General features: G+C 40.4%; 1 protein-coding gene and 1 long non-coding RNA gene across 4 annotated transcripts in view, besides 3 other annotated features; one reads left to right on the plus strand and one right to left on the minus strand.

Annotated features, from left to right (window-relative positions):
- Nucleotides 1-19,558, minus strand: part of PIWIL4-AS1 (PIWIL4 antisense RNA 1) — a 195,024-nt gene that overhangs the window by 27,822 nt on the left and 147,644 nt on the right. The window contains exons 6-7 of one of the 3 annotated variants that reach the window (NR_135096.1): nucleotides 2,629-2,787; nucleotides 619-1,933 (exon numbers count right to left, since the gene is read on the minus strand). The exons of the other annotated variants lie outside the window; for them this stretch is intronic. This is a non-coding gene — a long non-coding RNA (PIWIL4 antisense RNA 1). Of the gene's footprint in view, nucleotides 1-618; nucleotides 1,934-2,628; nucleotides 2,788-19,558 lie in introns of those variants that run through there. 3 annotated transcript variants of the gene reach the window in all.
- The window catches only part of PIWIL4 (piwi like RNA-mediated gene silencing 4), a 54,054-nt gene that overhangs the window by 5,786 nt on the left and 28,710 nt on the right, over nucleotides 1-19,558 (plus strand). The window contains exons 3-8 of the mRNA NM_152431.3: nucleotides 1,846-1,977; nucleotides 4,125-4,339; nucleotides 10,295-10,416; nucleotides 12,292-12,372; nucleotides 13,897-14,094; nucleotides 15,968-16,079. Coding sequence (NP_689644.2) covers nucleotides 1,846-1,977; nucleotides 4,125-4,339; nucleotides 10,295-10,416; nucleotides 12,292-12,372; nucleotides 13,897-14,094; nucleotides 15,968-16,079 — 860 coding nt within the window. The remainder of the gene's footprint in view (nucleotides 1-1,845; nucleotides 1,978-4,124; nucleotides 4,340-10,294; nucleotides 10,417-12,291; nucleotides 12,373-13,896; nucleotides 14,095-15,967; nucleotides 16,080-19,558) is intronic.
- Nucleotides 10,737-11,936: an enhancer, noted in NCBI's record as "P300/CBP strongly-dependent group 1 enhancer chr11:94317056-94318255 (GRCh37/hg19 assembly coordinates)". NCBI's record gives its function as "activates an origin of replication core promoter dependent on BRD2, BRD4, P300/CBP, MED14 and CDK7 cofactors, with strong dependence on P300/CBP, by STARR-seq in HCT116 cells {active_cell/tissue: HCT116}" and the evidence as "EXISTENCE:reporter gene assay evidence [ECO:0000049][PMID:35650434]".
- Nucleotides 11,043-11,352: an enhancer, noted in NCBI's record as "active region_5404". NCBI's record gives its function as "activates an Ori minimal core promoter by ATAC-STARR-seq in GM12878 lymphoblastoid cells {active_cell/tissue: GM12878}" and the evidence as "EXISTENCE:reporter gene assay evidence [ECO:0000049][PMID:35858748]".
- Nucleotides 11,096-11,296: a silencer, noted in NCBI's record as "peak1400 fragment used in MPRA reporter construct". NCBI's record gives its function as "represses an SCP1 promoter by STARR-seq MPRAs in K562 erythroleukemia cells {active_cell/tissue: K562}" and the evidence as "EXISTENCE:reporter gene assay evidence [ECO:0000049][PMID:32103011]".

Here is a 19,558-nt window from a genome sequence, read left to right on the forward strand (position 1 = left end):
GCTGAAGTTGCTTATCAGCTTAAGGACATTTTGGGCTGAGACGATGGGGTGTTCTAGATATACAGTCATGTCATCTGCAAACGGAGACAATTTGACTTCCTCTTTTCCTAATTGAATACCCTTTATTTCTTTCTCCTGCCTGATTGCCCTGGCCAGAACTTCCAACACTATGTTGAATAGGAGTGGTGAGAGAGGGCATCCCTGTCTTATGCCAGTTTTCAAAGGGAATGCTTCCAGTTTTTGCCCCTTCAGTATGATATTGGCTGTGGGTTTGTCATAGATAGCTCTTATTATTTTGAGATATGTCCCATCAATACCTAATTTATTGAGAGTTTTTAGCATGAAGGGCTGTTGAATTCTGTTGAAGGCCTTTTCTGCATCTATTGAGATAATCATGTGGTTTTTGCCTTTGGTTCTGTTTATGTGATGGATTACGTTTATTGATTTGCGTGTGTTGAACCAGCCTTGCATCCCAGGAATGAAGCCAACTTGATCGTGGTGGATAAGCTTTTTGATATGCGCACATTGTTATGAACAGTGAATGATGAAAATCCTTCATCCTTGGAGGGAAAATTGGAGTTTTATTTATTTATCTTAAAATATATATAACATAAAATTTACCATTTAAATTACTTTTAAATGTGCAGTCTTGGGAGATGAACTTCATTTATTTTGTTGTGCAGTCATCACCACCATCCAACTTTAGATCTTTTTTCACTGTGCAAAATGGAAACTCTGTACTCATTAATTAATAACTCCCATTCCCCCCTCCCTCCAGCTCCTGGTAACTGCCATACTATGGTAGCTTGAATTTTCAGAAACCACCTAACATCTTTTGAAACCACGAGCAATGGCTTATATGGACAATTTAGTGAGGGTAATAGAATTCTAGAAATTCATATTACTTTGCAGTAACATTTTGTATTTTTATAAAGTTATTTTCAACATGCCAGAAAGTCAGCATCCCCCGTACTAATTTAAACAGAAAATACTCATTTGGAAACAGATTTTAATTTCATGTTTTCTAGAAGCTGTCAGTAAGTGATATGCCCTGAGGTGAAACACTGGCTTTTATTCTTAGGGGGAATGACCTAGAATAAAAACTGATGGCAATGTTCTGGGCAATTTCTCTTCTTTTCTTTGGGAAATGTCAGATTCATCTTCTTTCTGGGCAGAAGTTGCTGAGGACAGAAGTTAGTCTGTAATCCTTCAGGGTGTTACACAAGAGCTAACGGCAGGAGAGCTGCCCTCCCTAAATAGGTATGGAGAAGGGAATGGGGAGGGAGGGCTTTCTCCTTAGCCAAGAAGTGAAAGTCTACAATATTACAAGGGCAAGAACTAACTCAAGATCTGTTTTTGTTTTTGTGAGACAGGGTCTCGCCCTGTCGCCCAGGCTGGAGTGCGGGCGTGACCATGGCTCACTGCTACCCCCACCTTCTGGGTTTAAGTGATCCTCCCACCTCAGCCCAGGCACATGTCACCACGCCCAGCTGATTTTTTGTGTTTTTGGTAGAGACAGGGTTTCAACACGTTGCCCAGGCTGGTCTCTAACTCCTGAGCTCAAGCGATCCGCCCGCCATGACCTCCTAAAGTGCTGGGACTACAGGCATGAGTCACGACATCTGGCCAAGATCTGTTATTTTTAACAAAACGTTCTGTGTTTTCTTCACAATTTTCCGTTTTTAGGCTGAAGACTTCTGTAATAGTCATGAATGGTTTCAGCAATATGGGCAAACTGTATTCAAAACCACAAGTTTGGATTGCAATGCATTTTTGACATAGTAGTTGCAAACAGTATCACTAGAATGAAATATTAGCTGTTACCACATTCTCTTCATGTTTTAGATAAATATGGGATATCTTCTGGTGATGCTGGAAGTACCTTCATGGAAAGAGGTGTGAAAAACAAACAGGACTTTATGGATTTGAGTATCTGTACCAGAGAAAAATTGGCACATGTGAGAAATTGTAAAACAGGTACCCAGTTTTATGTCACTTACTTTTTTAATGTTACCAAATCTTGCTTAAGGACTTCCAAATTCTAGGTCTAAAATAAATAAGTTCATATGTTTGCTTAACAGATATTTACTGATTGTCTTCTATGTTCAAGGCACTGTTAGACGCTTTAATTTTCTAGCCTTAATTTTCTCTTTTATTAGTAGAAATAATATCTTCCCCCAAATGACATCTCACTTTTGGAAAAGATTTTCTTCATATACTGGGGTGGGAGTTAAAAAGATGTTTCTTCTCTTTCCCAACATGGGAAGTAAAAATCTTTCTGGACTTCAGCTGTAAAAAGAAAGACATAACCTATTTGGGGGATTCTTTACCCAGATTCCAGGCTCACCCATAAAATTGCATGCAAATTGTCAGTATATATATCTTCTGGGAAGTAGGTCTATTGTTTTCATTGGATTCTCAAAAGTCTTTGTGGCCACCTCACGAAAGTTAAAACTCACTGATGCGGATCAGTGTTTTCCAAACTTTTTAAACCAAAATAAGAAATATATTATTATCCAGCATACACACACTGTCCACACACAACTGAAGCAAAAGTTTCATGAAACAATGCGTCTCTTCCTTTCTGTTTTATTCTGGACTTTTCATTAAACATGCGATTCACCTCACCTGATTTCATAACTGCAGCACTAATGGGACCCAGCTGCCGTTTGAAAACTATCATATGTAGACGATCTTGAAGGGTCTTTCCGGCTCTGACAGTCTAGGTTGACTACTCTTTATTTATATGAGCAGCTAAAATATGTTGCTTTGCCATTTCCTCAGGATCTGGGAGAACAAAAGAGATCTGTTATTTAACTAAAATAGCACGGAGATTTCTTGCTCCTACCAGATATATACCCCAGGTTGAAGCTGAGGAAATACTGAAGCACAGCTGATACCTTGTATTCCTCACCACCTTGGAGTCTCTGGGTTGCTTTCCTCCATGAGAAAAGCAAAATAGCATCTATTCTATATCATTCTTTTCTTTTCTTTTTTTGGAGACAGCGTCTCACTCTGTTGCCCAGGCTGGAGTGTAATGGTGCGATCTTGGTTCACTGCAGCCTCTGCCTTCCAGGTTCAAGCGATTCTTGTGCCTTAGCCTCCTGAGTAGCTGGAATTACAGGCATGGGCCACCATGCCCAGTTAATTTTTTATTTTTTATAGAGACAGGGTCTTGCCAGGTTGGCCAGGCTGGTCTCGAACTCCTGGCCTCAAGCAATCCACCCGCCTTGGCCTCCCAAACTGCTGAGATTACAGGTGTGAGCCACCGTGCCCAGCCTCTATATCATTCTTTTCTATAAGACCAAAACTGGATGATTCTCTGTAAGGGGAAGTGAGAAGAACCTCCTTTGTACCCTCCTGGATTCTACCCTGGGGGGAGCTTACACCATCCTGATCACTAACTGACTATATCGTGGCCATCTCTGATTTTGTCCTATAGACTTTTAAGATGTGAATAAAAATGTCTGTAAGGGGCTGGAAGTCCCGGAAGCACACATGGCCTCCATGTGTCTGCAGAAAACAGAAGCCCAGAAACCTTGTCTGTTTTCACGTCGGAAAAATGACAGTTCCTTCCTCTCTCCGCAGCCTTCCCCTTAATCTCTGAGGGTCTTCTCTGAGATTGTTTGGTCTAACCACTGATATAACTTTTTCAGAATTTTCAGAAATATGATTAACTTTTGATTATCTGGATTTCCCAGAGGTTGGGGGTTGTATATTCATAGTAAGAACCAGACTGTTTCTTTATGAGAGCAGTATAATTTCAGAGCAGCATCTGAAAATATTACTTGAGCCGATTTGAATTGCAGAGAATGAGAGCGGGAAGGCAAGCTTTGAAAGGTGTCCTGGAATGGTTGAGTTCAGATGCTTCTCGTCTCACAAGGACAGGAATGTCAGTGTCTGCTCGTATGTTCTTAAGAGGCCTGTTTCATGCATGATCCCATTTTAGCTCCCAAAGGTGTTATTAGGCTGCAAGTTTTAGGATTTATCCTGTGTCACTGTGCAAAAATCCTTGCTTTAAAGCAACTACTATGCATAGGCAAATACATTTTTAAATGGTGTGATTAATATTAACATGATGTGATTTCCTGATTAAAAAATTGTTTTTTGTTTGTCTTCTTCAGGTTCCAGTGGAATACCTGTGAAACTGGTTACAAACCTCTTTAACTTAGATTTTCCCCAAGACTGGCAGCTATACCAGTACCATGTGACATATATTCCAGATTTAGCATCTAGAAGGCTGAGAATTGCTTTACTTTATAGTCATAGTGAACTTTCCAACAAAGCAAAAGCATTCGACGGTGCCATCCTTTTTCTGTCACAAAAGCTAGAAGAAAAGGTATAGTATGATTAGTTTTTTTACTGTATATGTGGGTGTGTGTTTATTATATGTGTATACACACACACATATATATGCATATGCAAGGAGATTCCAAAAGGTTTGTGGAAAAATAGAATTAAAAGGTAAGAATTTAAAAAACTACCTTTATTTCTTACCAAGAGTTTTACCAAGGTCAAGACACTTTTATAAGCAATTATATCAGCCATTTAGTCCATCCCTAGAGAACTAAGGGTCCTGGGAATTTAACCACATCAGTGCAGTCTTTTTTAGCTTATTAACGAAAGAAAAATGGGTGCCCTTTACATTGTTTTATATTTTAAGATTATAAAACAAAAAAAGTCAGAAGGAGCCAAATCAGCAGTAAAGTGTATGCCTAATGATTTCCCATTGAAACTTTTGCAAACTTACCCTTGTTTGTTGAGAAGAATGAGTAGAAGCATTGTTGTGGTGCTTTCCAGGGAAGCTTTCCTGGCCATTTTTCTGCTCAAGCTTTGGCAAAGTTTCTCAAAACACTTTCATAATAAGCGGATGTTACCATTCTTTGGCCCTCCAGAAAGTCAACAAGCAGAATGCCTGGAGCATCTCAAGAAACTATTGCCATGACCTTTGCTCTTGATGGGTTGGCTTTTCCTTTGACTGGACCACTTCCACCTCTCGGTAGTGATTGCTCTGATTGTGCTTTGTCTTCAGGATCGTACTGGTAAAGCCAGGTTTCATCTCCTCTTACAATTTTTTGAAGAAATGCTTCAGGATCTTAATACCATTTATTTAAAATTTTTATTGACGGCTCTGCTCTTATCTGCAGCCGATCTGAATGCAATGAATTTGGCAAGCGTTGAATGGAAAGTTTGCTCAACTTTAATTTTTTAGTCAGAATTGTATAAGCTAAACAAATTGAGATGTCTGTGGTGTTGGCTATTGTTTCTGCTATTAATCTTTGGTCTTCTCAATTAGGGCATGAACAAGATGAATTTTTTTTCCTTGCAAATCTGTATAGATGGTCTGCAGCAGGCTTCATCTTCAACATTGTCTCATCCCTTCTTAAGATGAGTTATCCATTCGTAAACTGCTGATTTCTTTGGGGCATTGTTCCCATAAACTTTTCATTATACATCAATGATTTTGCCATTCTTCTACCCAAGTATCGCCAAAATTTGATGTCTGTTCTGGCTTCAATCATAGCAGAATTCATATTGCTCTGACAGGGTCTCTGTTCAAATTGAGGTCTTATTCTTAGTGTCTCACACTGGATCCTGTTAGTATGAGTTTATTTGGGTGCAAAATTTTTGAAATCCATGCATAGTTTTTTCATAATACATATTTTCCATGAACTTTTTGAGGTCTCCTCATATATACTTATATATTTAAGAGATTAGTTGATTTTCATGACAGTTGGAATGAGTGAATCACTCCTTTCCTTTTTCCTGTTCCCTTGCCTGAGAGCTAAAAAAAGACTTCCTAATTAAGATTTCACTAGTAATTGATTTCTTAATTATGAAGCTGGTGGTCTGGTATTTTTAAAATAAGAGCTGTAAGTGTCCTTGAAATTGGCACCTTAAAAAATAATTCCCAAAGTAGGCAAGACTAAGAAACACCATTTGGCCTATGGCTTCAGAACTTTAAATTAATTCTACCTTTTTTTGCTCCTGCACCCTTGTGCCTGTATGTCCAAATAATTTTACATCAATTTTTGATTCTAGAATTGCCGTTTATTTAACTACTTGCTCGATCATAAGAAATTATGAGTTATTTATATCAATTTTTAAAGTTTTTTTAATGCAACCATTGGAAATAGCTATTGTGTATTTCATATTCCTTTATCCACCTTTTTACACATTTGACATATTCAGTCCTAAAATAAAGATGGTATGGATGTTTTTAACATATGTTTTGTTCTAAAACAATGTTACAATTACTACAAGAAAAAAAGAACCAATTTCTGTGTGAAAAATTAAAACAGAGCATTGGATTAAAATTTTATGCTTCTATCCCTTAGAAATCTTAGTCCCTTGGTTCAGCTGTTTGTTTGCAGAGTATGGTACCAATAGCTTAGATTTAAATTTTTAGACTCTAGGTAAGTGTTTGTGAATTTCCTCATGAAATGTGTTTCTTAGCACTCTTGGGCCTTTTGCCTTTTATGAGACCCTGGGATCTATAGGAGCTGCTTGAGTGATTGTTGCATTGGATATGGAACATTAAAATTATACCATATGATTAAATTTAATGGCTTAGAAAATCTAGATTTGTAAATTAAGAAACATTTTTATTCACCATAATTTTTTATTGATCCTTCAATTCTTTGTCCTATGACCAGATGTTGATAGCACGCTAATATGGCTTCTCATACTTAAATGATATATTTCAAGTCTGTTGTTACCATTAAAAATGTTCTTGTAGATACATTTCTAGCACTAGTTTAGAAATTTAGATACGTTGAAATTATTAAATACTACCCTTGAAGTGTCCAGCTTACTTCCATTGTACCTAAACAGAATGAAGACCGTATACGCTACAAATGCTAAGAATATGTTACTGCTACTCATTTCTCATTCAAAATGAGCATGTAGTATGTGTCAAACACCTTTCTGTTGCTGGGAATGGAGCCTAATAAGGGGACAAGTGAGAAAATAGACCATAAAAACATGGTGTGACAAATCAGGCCTGTTTATTTTATTTCCCAGATATAGGGGATACTAGGTTTAAACAGAATAGTGTTGTCTTATTTCTTATAAACATATGACCTGTCACCCAGTTACAGTGCAAAAGAAAGTGTCCTAATGAAGATACTCTCACCTTTTTATTCTGATCTTGGTATTGACTGAGGCTTAATTCTGCATCCTCATCATCCCCTACACATGTCCTAGGATGCTTATTTAAGTTGAAACATCTCAGCCACTAGTTGACGCAATGAACTCCTAGGAGTTCCAGGATTCCTGTTCAGCTGCCTCCTAGCCTTCCACTGTCCAGGTCCTATCTGTGCACCTGCAGCCAGACTGGTGTTGCTATTCATGTCCACATCTATTTGCCACTCTCATATACTTATAAAGAGCCTACTCTGAACCTGGCAGGGTGTTGCGACCATGGAGCAAACAAAGATAAATAAAACAGAGTACTTGTTCTCCAAAATTTCAATTTCGAATAAAAGTTCTTTACAAATAAATACTATGTAAGGTAGAATGAAATAAGTGTCATAATAATTAGTATCTTTATTATGCTAGCATTTATTGAGCACTTACTAGGTGTTAAGTACTGTCCTTCTTTGTTCTCCAGGTTATCCTCAACATCTCTCTCTTGAGCAGATCTATACTTTGTGTCCCACAAGTAGCTGCTACCACCACTGCTACTACCAGTTACACCTATCAGATTACATGTGTTGATCACTTACTCTGCCAGGCTTTTTTTTTTTTTTTTTTTTTTTTGGAGAAGGAGTTTTGCTCTTGTCGCCCAGGCTGGAGTGCAATGGCATGATCTTGATTCACTGCAACCTCCACCTCCTGGGTTTCAAGCAATTCTCCTGCCTCAGCCTCCTGAGTAGCTGGGATTATAGGCACCTGCCACCACACCCGGCTAATTTTTGTATTTTTAGTAGAGACGCGGTTTCACCACATTGGGCAGGCTGGGCTCAAACTTCTGACCTCAGGTGATCCACCCGCCTCAGCCTCCCAAAGTGCTGGGATTACAGGTGTGAGCCACCACGCCCGGCCTGCCAGGCTCTTTATAGCATGATCTCATTTAATCCTGTCATCACCCTTGGGGCCTAGTGAGGCTAAATATATTGCCCAAGGTTGTCAGAGAGAGCTTGATGAAAGGCAAGAATATTTCTAGCAGGACACCTGAGCGAGAGTGATAGTTCCTTGTTTAGGATTTTGATCAGTGAGGTGGACAATGGGAGATATGGGATTCCTAGGCAGAAGAGGCAAACATGCAATGATGGGAAGTGAGGGCCATATTTTAGAAACTTTTGCTCATTCAGGTTTAGCTAGGAAGGTGTGGGAGTTGTGATTTCAAAGGTAAAGAGAACTTTAAATGTCCTGCCAAGGAACAGAGACTCTTCCATGGATCACTGAAGACGTTGGAGAGCATTTCCATGGCAGCTGTGTTAAATTACAGTTACTCTGATCACATCCTATTGAATGGTTTACAGAAGGAGGTGGGAAGAGTAGTAAAGTGCCACTGAAATAGTGTGGGCAGGGTGTCGAAAGGGCTTGAAAAGAGATACAAAGTGCTGCTATTTATTTGAATTCCTGAGTGCCTGTGCAATGGATGGAAGTAAAATCAATGCATTATCTCATTTAATCGTCACAACCCTGTGACTTTAGTTAGACTCAGTATCAGAAAGGTGTTCCACATCACACCAGCTGTAAGAGGCAGAAGACCAGGGTCCATCCAATTCCACATCATGTGCTCTTAAGCACTGTGGTAAATAATGGTATTGGAACAGCTGAGATAGATCAGAGACATTCCTGGTGTAGATACAATAAGACTTGCCATCTGATTAGATTGTGAATTGAGGAGGAGAAATGAAAGTTTACTGTGAGGTTAGCAGCCTGGGGACTGGAGGGTCTGAGGTCCAATAGGAGATGTAGGAAGTGAAACAGGAGTGGGTGTTTGGTGGGAGAGGTACAAGGCGGGGCTGAAGAGTTTGCTCTTAGGTGGTTGTTGAAAATGCAGTTCCTGAGACCATCTGCTGCCACCTCCCCTCAACCACTCATCCCAAAGGATTAAGACATCCTTTGTTGTCTTAATCCTTTGTTCCAAAGCCCCTGCAGCAGTTTGAGAGGTGGGCATCCCTTCTGTCTGCCAGAGTTTTCCCCATGTTGATGAGCTCTTTCTATAGCTGTCCACCTCTGATTTCTGTACAATTTTATCTGAAGCAAGAAATTATCTCGATGAAATCTTACATCCCTGTGAAAAGATCAGTTTCTCTTTGTTTCCATGCAGTGACTGGTTCCTGCCTTACATTCTTGATGCAATCTAAAAGTGGTTACAACCATACTGTAGCTGTAGAAAGTAGAGGCAGAATACATAAATGCTTGCTAATTAGCTGACTTTATCTAATTGCTTATCCCTTTGAAAAATCCATGATCATTGATTGATATTTATTGACTGATTTGTATATTCCTTTATTTCAAGAACCTATTCTGAGTCCTTTCTGGTTCAAGAAGCTTTACATTTAGTGGGAGCTGTTATAGAATCATATTCATGTGTTCATTATATTGCTAGAACATTGTTCCAAGTTATAAGGACTCTAGGTTTCTCTAGACCTTTCAGCAATTTATAAAATCAGATTTCTGATCTGTTCTAATTTCCACCACTTATTCCTCTCTCTCCCCATGTTTACTTTCCCTCTCATTTATCCTCTCTCCTTTCTTTCCTTCTCTCTTGTTCTCTGCTCTTCTACATTATAAACAGACTTTGGGAGGCTGTCCTCTGGAATCCATGAACTTGGGATGGGCAGGACAGTCCACTAGTGGGCTTCTGAGTATCAGTGAATACCCTGAAAATGGGTACAATTATGTACACTGTTGTGGTGTGTGTATATATATATATGTGTGTGTGTGTGTGTGTGTGTGTGTGTGAAATTTTATTGAGAAATATCTAACTTTTATCAGACTCTCAAAATAATTTGTGACCCATCTCCCTCCCGCTCCCTAGAAAAATCAAGAACCACTGCTCTGGAACTCTCTTTGGACCAAACTTTGAACCATGAGTCTGGCTTTAATTCTCCCTTAAGAAGTTAGAGAGTAGAGAGATGTGTTGTTTTTTTAGGATTGGCAAGATACAGAGAAAAAAAGCCCTCTGAACATAATGTGATGATTAGATTATTACTCATACTAACACCTGCAGTTTTGTTTTTGTTAATGCATATTACATTGTGATGGCTTTATAATCTGCATTCTGCACACTTGGGGATAATTTGTAGGGTGCATATTAAGTACCTCTTTTTCCCAGGTCACAGAGTTGTCAAGTGAAACTCAAAGAGGTGAGACTATAAAGATGACTATCACCCTGAAGAGGGAGCTGCCATCAAGTTCTCCCGTGTGCATCCAGGTCTTCAATATCATCTTCAGAAAGTAAGGCACTGGAAATGTGAATTTAATTTGGGCTAATGATACCTTTCAGCATAGAGCCTGGGTATTAAAATAATCGACCATTTTGTAGGCAGTGTGCCAGCAGTGATGCCACCGTTAGGGCAATTTCTCAAGCACCTTCTCCTACATGAACAATAATGTGCAATGCAGCCCATTACAGCCACTCAGTGGCACAGACTGTTAATATCCAGTATTGTCCTAAGTTGAGACAAATAATACGGGGATTATTGCTGTCTCACTGGTAGCAGGGAGGGTACCCTTTTCCTTTTCTTCTTTTTCTGTGTCTTTTCCCAGACTTAAAAGTTCATTTAGCAAACTTAGTTAAGTTTGGCTTAATAAACTGAAGAATTTGTTTTTCTCCTAGCCGATTGATTTAGGAAAGAAGATCACTGTCTGCTTTCTGCCCTGGCTCCACCCTCAGCCCATTTCTTTCCCCCACACCTACATGGTTGTAGCTCAGCTCTTCAGTGTTCTGCAGACTGGTCTAAGGATCACATACTCCAGCGTCTTCTTAGGGGTGGAATGGAGCTCCATAAAAGGCATATTCCCTGGACCTTCACTGAATCTAGTTAGTAAACAGAAGTTCACAGATAGGCCTGAAAATTCACATTTTTAGGATACACTGAAGCTTGAGAACCACTGTTTTACATGCTGCTAGTGTGGATCATTAAGATGATCTGTTAGAAACCTTACAGGCAAGTTCTTTGTTCAACAGTGACCTCTGGAAGGCATGAAGATGGGGAAGTTTGGGGATTTCCTGAGTCGTATGAGCACATCAGGAACTTCCCCCACCCAGATGTCCTAATTCCTAATTCCAGTCAGATGTCTTGTCCAGCACCTTTTGGTCATATCTGAGCCTCAGCTTACTGCATATCAGCTCTTCAGAAGCCAGTCTTGCATGCTGACATTTGGAAGATGCTTTCAGTGAGAAAGTTCTTTCACTTGTCTTTTATCTTACTTTACCCTCACTAGAGCAACCCGAGGCAAGTGCTATTAAAATCCTTATTTTTAAGAGAAAGGGGCTTAGGCTCAGTGACATTTGGCAGCCAAAATCACAGTTGAAACGCGTTTCCTGACTTGAAACCCCCATGTAGGTCAAATTCCTAAGGTGACCAGGATTACTTGCTGAAGACACAGTCTTGGTCATTTGGCAGTACCTGGGGAGCCTGAGCAGCCTCATTAGAAATAAGATCCTCGGCTGGGCCGGTGGCTCACACCTGTAATCCCAGCACTTTGGGAGGCAGAGGCGGGCAGATCACCTGAGGTCAGGAGTTCGAGACCAGCCTGACCAACATGGAGAAACCTCGTCTCTACCAAAAATACAAAATTAGCCGGGCGTGGTGGCGCTCTTGCCTGTAATCCCAGCTACTGCGGAGGCTGAGGCAAGAGAATCGCTTAACCCGGGAGGCGGAGGTTGCAGTGAGCTGAGATCACGCCATTGCACTCCAGCCTGGGCAACAAGAGCGAAACTCCATTTCAAAAAAAGAAAAAGAAATAAGGTCTTCATCCCCAAGTAGGGAAGAGGTCAAAAAGGCCTGCAGGCATGGCTTATCTCACCCCATCCAAGCTAACCAGAATGTTACTACCCATAATGGCTAATTGACCACATATTTGTCACTGCAGCTAAACCCAGACAGATAAAAATAATTTCAGTTGTAGTATTCTCAAATATGAAGAAGTGATAGTTCTTTATAGACATTCATATGTATATTTAGTATCTAAACCTTGCAGTCCTGTGAGAATGAGAGGTCTGTATTTCCTATATATTTTTAACATTATGTTCAGTAAGGGTTTGAACTTAGAATTACACTGTTACTGACTGATATTTACCAAAAATTCAAAAAAATATACTTGCAGGATCCTCAAAAAGTTGTCCATGTACCAAATTGGACGGAACTTCTATAATCCTTCAGAGCCAATGGAAATTCCCCAGCACAAGTAGGTTTATTTATATTTTCTGTTACTCCGAAATTATTATAATGTGAGCAACATAATTTATGATGCAATATTATACCATTATGCCTCCTGTGAGAGACTCTGTGATATGAAATGTAATGAATTTTTTATAATTTTCAAGTTTTTTTAATAAAATGGTTCATGTGAACGTGAAGCTAGCAGCTTTGTTTTCTTATATTAGTGTGATAGATAATTATCACAAATCCTAGAAGGAATTCAGAAACTGAATTTTCTGTGTGTAATAAGTAATAATGAAAGCAGGATGAGCTGTATTTTGTTGTTGAAAGGTTGTTAGCACAGCCAGAGTGGTTGACATGAAATTGGCAGGGCAGCGCGGGTCAGAAAGAGAAGCCAACCAAATAACTCTGGTGAAGGATAGAATCCTTATGAACACCTGCAGAATTTCTACCTAAACTGGGAATTCGAGGCTTCAGGGAAAGTGGTCAGCTATGTCTTGAACTGGTTGTTACTTAGCTCTCAAAAATACTGTGGTCAAACTATAGACAGAGAGGCAACTGGTAGCCCAAACGTAGATTCATAAAGGGAGAAGTGCATAAAAGATAGAAAATGGGAGTAGGGTGTTTGGCCTTCTGCTTGGTGGAGGAAAAATGACGGAGTTTCCATATGTTCATTCAGAGTGTCAGCGTGCTCTCTATAAAGCACCCAATTCGTCCTTGTCACTAATCTGTCCACCCGGATTAGAAAATCTCATAGGTGCTGATTGTACTAAACTGCCCTAGGTGCTCAGCACATATGCCTGTCCCGGAGGCTGGCTTAGTATCACAGTGTCTACTTAATAGTCCACAAAATATAAACTGGAATTATTTTTTAAAATAGTAGTCTATTATTTCATGCCATTTCTGTAACTTCTTATTCAAGATTTTTAAGTTTATGTGGGAAGAAACTGTAGGCTGTGTTCCGGTTTCTCTTGTATATCTGTTTGTGGTATCACTTTTGTATTTTTTAATCTCGTCATTAAATCTATCCACTGCCCTCACCTTTGAATTGGGGTGCTTTTCTGAACCTAGATGTTTTCCTGCGGGGACAGATCACTCCATAAATGTATTATTCCTATAGTTACGGTTTTCAGGCAGGGACATTTCCCCCCCCTCTTCAGGGAACATTTTGTATTGTCTGGAGACGTTTCTGGTTGTCACAGCTGGGAGGCTGCTACTGGCGTCTAGTGGGTAGAGGCCAGGGAAATGCTGCTAAACATCCTACAGTACACAGGACGGTCCCTAACAAAGAATTATCCAGTTCAAAATGTCAGTGGTGCCAAAGCTGAGAAACTGCTTTACAGTAAGGTATTTTATCCTAAATGTATGCTTAAAGACACTGCAGCTGAAAAAAAGTTTTCAGTCAACAACTGGAAGAAATCAGACTAAAGAAAAAAATTATCTTGTTAAGATCTCGAGAATTAGAACAGAAAATCACCATTTAAAAATCTTTATTGTGTTTCCGGTATAACATTGACAATATTCCTTTTTTTCTTTTTTGTTTTTAAAGATTATCCCTTTGGCCTGGGTTTGCCATTTCTGTGTCATATTTTGAAAGGAAGCTCCTGTTTAGTGCTGATGTGAGTTACAAAGTCCTCCGGAATGAGACGGTTCTGGAATTCATGACTGCTCTCTGTCAAAGAACTGGCTTGTCCTGTTTCACCCAGACGTGTGAGAAGCAGCTAATAGGGCTCATTGTCCTTACAAGGTACAAGCCTGCGTCTAAATAAACTTTTCTTCAGAAATCAATCATTGATGGTATTTGGGAATAGGAATAGTGTTGGAGTATTGGCCCAATATCACAGATCTAATCCATTTACTCATCTGTTTAGAAGACCTGGTTGTTTTGCTGTCTGGAGTTCACATGTCCTTGTGTGGCATTCTGGACTGTCCACAAGCTCCAAATTCTCGCTTGCGGTACCCTCCTTTCCCCTAATGCCACTCTCTATTCTAACCCCCAGCGGTCTGCACTTTGCATGCTTCAGTTCAGTTCAATTCAGTTCACTTCAGTTGCCTGGATTCCCTTCCCCAAATTCTGCCTTTTAAACTTCAGTTTTCACAAAGCTCAATTCTAATGTCCTGGCTTTTCTGACACCTCCATTTGCCTACTTAGTTGGAATTATTCAGTTTCTTCCCCTGGGCGGCGCCCATAGCACTTTGCTTATGGCTACCTTGTTGTGGCCATCTTATTTCATTTTACAGGACAGAAGGTTAGTTCCATGTCTCACCTTCTTTATTAGATTCAGGAGTCTTTTAAGTTGAGACCACATTTTACTTCTTTGCAACCTCTAGGTTTATGTATATAAAATTTGCCCTCATTGCACATTGAGCTGAGTTAAACACGGAAAATTTAGATGACTTCCTGAGTACTAAAAAGCTCACATATACTGCTGCTAGTCCAAGAACACTTTTTAAAAATTTTTTATTTTAAGTTTTGGGATATATGTGCAGGATGTGCAGGTTTGTTAAGTAGGTAAAAGTGTGCCATGGTGGTTTGCTGCAGCTATCAACCATCACCTAGGTATTAAATCCAGCATGCATTAGCTATTTTTCAGAATGCTCTCCCTCCCCCCGACCCTATCACCTGAGAGGCCCCAGCGTGTGTTTTTCCCCTCCTCGTGTCCATGTGTTCTCATTGTTCAGCTCCCACTTATAAGTGAGAACATGCGGTGTTTGGTTTTCTGTTCCTGCCCTGGTTTGCTGAGGATAATGGCTTCCAGCTCCATCCATGTCCCTGCAAAGGACATGATCCTGTTCCTTTTTATGGCTGCAAAAATACTTCTTTTAGGGGACTTGTTAGCTTTCTATTCTGGCTTAGAATTTCCACTTAAACTTGTTTTTCTGGGATATATAGCAGAGGGGTGGGACTGGCTGGATTCCACACTACTCGGTATGAGAAGGCTACCCTCTTATCCTCCTGTCATGATCTTGATGGATTAGCTTATCACATTTCAAAGTCATCTTGGAAAGAATCAAAAGCTCTAGAGAAACCTGCTGTGGTAGTTTCTGCCCCTAGGCTAGGTCATCCTGAGAGGACAGTCCAGGCTACACAGTGCTGAAGGGGAGAAGGAGCTTAGAGTAATCTTAGCTAACCTGTTTTGTAGTTTTGCCAAGGGCCAGCCCTAGCGGGTAGGTTAAGCAAGATGCCAGCATTGTGGGTTGATTGGCCTTCTTTTGGTGCTTTTTTAAATCAGAAAAACTACCTGGGAGGTCAGAAACTCTTGAGTGACACCAGAAGATAATGGGAAAGTTTTGAGCAATGCTTCAGCCTCTGAACATTTAAGAATGATTTACCTGAAGTTAGAGTATCTATCAGTGAGAAAACTAGACTGTGGTCTAAGGACTTTCCCACAGGTTTTGTTGGAATGTGGACAGAAGTCTTCCTGTATAGGAAATTATTAAGGAATGCCCTTTTCAGATAAGAGCTGAGTATTTTTTAAAAAGTGAATATTCTTGTTTTATTGTTTTCATAATTTCTGACATTCTGGAGTCTATCTTATGTGTTGAATTAAAAGTGTGGTGAAGTAGCTGCTTATGTTAGATGATTAAAAAACAATTTAAAGACTTTTTATATTTGGCAGATACAATAACAGAACCTACTCCATTGATGACATTGACTGGTCAGTGAAGCCCACACACACCTTTCAGAAGCGGGATGGCACCGAGATCACCTATGTGGATTACTACAAGCAGGTAGGACTTTTCTTCATGCATCTCTATCTCCTTTTCTTTTACCTCAGAGAAGTCTCCTTATTCCAAGTCTCAGAGGTCCCCCAGATTGGAGGCTGAGTCTGCCTCCGACCTGATTCTCTGACTTGTCTCTCTCCTTCATCCCCACCCTCCCAGTCTCCTGTTGACCCTCATCCTATCTCCTGTTTCCTTCTTCCTGTAGTCTGAGTAATCTCCCTTTAAAGCATATCTGATCACACTGCTCGCAACGCTAATACATTTCCATGTCTCCTTATTGCCTTAGGACCACCTGTAAGCCCTTTAGCAGAGTTTCCAAATCTCCTTATGATGTGGCCAATTCCTGCCTTTAAAGCCTCATCTCTTCCCATTCCCCTGCTCCCTTCCCTGGCTCTGATGTAATTGCCTCTTGTGATTCCATGACTCAGTTTCTCCCCTGTGCATTTTCACACGTTGCTTCTTTTTCCTGGATACCCCTTCACAGCCAGACGAACACTAGACACCCTTGCATACTCAGCTCAGCCATCAAGTCTCAAGGGAGCCCCAAAGCATTCCTCCCAGAATCCCCTCCCTGTCTCAGGTCATCACAGGCACCACACGAATGGTCTGAGCCCCATCCTAGACATTGAGCTCTGGGGAGGGGGCTCCTTGTTTTTGGATTCCCAGGACTAGCTCAGTGCTTTGCGCATATTAGATACTCAAGAAACTATTGATGGAATCTGTTGCTGCCTCTAGAAGCTCTAGCCGCATTTGCAACAGTTATCCTTACCCCTCATCTTCCATGTTCAATTCTTTTTGAAAGCACCTTCTCTTTAATGTATAGTAATATTCAGGTTAAAACAAACAAACAAAAACAAAAACCCTTTCTTGATCATTGTACACTTTCAGGAAAAGCTCTTTTTCTCCTTAGCTAACTTTAGAAAGTCATTTACACTAGCTCCAAGCACCTTTTCTGTTCTTCCTTCCTGAAACCTCAGCAGTCTGGTATCCAGTTATGCTGCTTTAGAAGTAGTTCTAGAAAGGTCAAGTTCAGTTACTGTTCTTATCCTAAAGGGCTTTCAGTGCATTTGATACCTGTGACCTCTCCCACCGGCTGGAACTGATCTCTTCCTTCCTTGACTCCTGGGACACATCCCTGCGGTTCTCTGCTACTTTCAGGTTGTTCTATCTTAGTCTCCTTTGACGTTTTCCTCCTTCCTTCCTCACAAAGGAACCATTATTCACCATGGTTCCCTCATATAGAACCTTTTCATTGTATTTTGAGATGGCTCAAATATAGTGCTTTTGCCTAGCCCTCATTCCCAAATTACATATTCATCTCCATTTCCAGAACATATTTGCATGAATACCCTGCAGGCATCTCAAACTAATATAATTCAGACTGAATTCATTGTCTTTCCCATTCCTGTTTCTCCTTGGAAATTCTGTAGCTCAGATAGGAATGATTTTGCTTTCTTCCTCTTCTTCACCTTAACCTCCTCATTCACTTGTCACCAAGACGAGTTCTGTATCCTTTATCCGTGAATTTTCTTTTTGCCAGCCCTGTTCCCACTGCATTAATGCAGGCCATCTCGTGGATCCCCTCCCACTACCGTCACTCTTTATGCCCTAGCTCTCTCCTCACTGTGATCCCTCACCCTCACAGCCATCAGAGAGATCTTTCTGAAGTGCTGCCCAGAAATCTGATTACAAGCATAAGCTCTGGAGTAAGATGGTCCTGGCTCCAGCTGTGTAACCCTGGGTAAATCACTAAACCCAGAGTGTCATGTGTAAAGGAAGTTTATCTGTCTACCTTCATGGTGTAGTGTAAGAACCGAGTAAGATAATTATGCACACAGAGCACTGAAGTGTGCCTGCACTTTGTGAGCACTGGGAGAACAGTGGAGACCATGCTCCTCCTTTTCTATCCTCTGCTTCTTCCTCTCTAGCACTGCATAGTTTGGCCCCCTCTTTCTTTCTTATATTTCTCAGCATCCCTCCTATGCACCCCATGCCTTTATCACCCCATCCACTCACTGGCCTACACCTTCCTCAGCCTTTGTGTGTGTTCACTAGGCATCTGCAGAAAGCCACGCTGTACCTTTCTCCTTTACCCCTAGGTCAAATCCTAGCTTCAAGGCCAAGTGTGAAGTCCTCTCTGACTTTGCTTTCTGTCACACACGTAGAAGAGCAAGCTGTTCTCCTTTCTAAGTACCTGTGCATTCATCACATTGTTTCTTGAACACGTATTCCTTGGAGAGCAAGGATGGTGTTTGGCTAATCCTTGATGCATAGTATCTAGCAAAACATCTTGTGCATAAAATGTGTTCTGTGTTTATTAAACCAACAGTTTGTTAAACATTTGGGTTTCTTTCTTGCATGATTAAATTTGTTCATATTTAAACAGAAGTATTTTAGGACCTGTGACATTCTGAAACGGGAATCATGGTAAAAATCCCAGTCACTGTTTTTTTGAAATGAGTTGTGCTTCACTGCATATATATTGTAATTAGGGAGGAAAAGAAAGAAAACTGTGACAGCTTCTAGTATGCCCTCCTCCCTGTCCCAGGAAAGAAAGACTGATTATTATGTAGTCAGTTTTCAAAGTGGAAGACATCCTGATATTGACCTTTATATTTCTCTATTTTATCTTATCATACAAAGTATTTTCAAATGCTAAGAAAATTGGGGCAAGGGAGAGGGTCACATTTACCTTGTGAGAGCAGGTTAGGGGCTAGAGTTCTTGACCATGCTCCAGCTAGAGTCCTTCTTCCTGGAAGATGCCTTTGTTTTGCTGGAGCTGTTACCTGAGACTATCCGTACTCCCATGTTTTCTTCAAGGTCCTCTCTTGGTCTCCACCTGCATGGAGGCTTCCCTGATTTGCCAGCCATAATTGTGTCACTACCACCATCTCCTTTTCCTCCCCACCCCTCCCACTCCAGCCCAGGGATCCAGTACTGAGTGGTATAATAAGCAGAGTCTTAACAGATCAATCCTAGCTGTGCTAATTTCCAGTTATGGAGCCTTGGGAAGATTGCTTAATGTTTCACAGTGTTTTCTCATCTGCAAAGGGGACAATAATAGTATCTCTTTCATCAGTTTGTTGTGCTTTATCGTGCTTTGTTAAGCATTGTTTGTGCTTCTTGTGGACCTCGCTTTGTAGATAATGTATTGATGCAGAAAGGCAGGGACTGTGCCTCTTTTATTTTCTTATCCACTGCCGTTCCTGGAACACAGTAAGCACGCCATGTGTTCTAAATTAATGGAGTCATGCATACAAACTCACTTGATAAAGGCTTCTCCAAACTTTTTAGCCATAGCATCAGTTGCACCTGCTACTTTCAAATGAGATTCTTGACTTGGTTTTTATTTTAATGACAAAGTTTTTCTTGAAATATAGAAATGCTCACATTTGACTTCTTTTATTGTGATTATTGATCTCAGTGTCACAATACCCAGGCATTTTGTAAATTATAATTCCAGTTGTTCTGTCACTAATGTGGAT

The sequence above is a fragment of the Homo sapiens genome, chromosome 11 (genome assembly GCF_000001405.40).
Source record: "Homo sapiens chromosome 11, GRCh38.p14 Primary Assembly".
Classification (NCBI taxonomy): domain Eukaryota; kingdom Metazoa; phylum Chordata; class Mammalia; order Primates; family Hominidae; genus Homo; species Homo sapiens.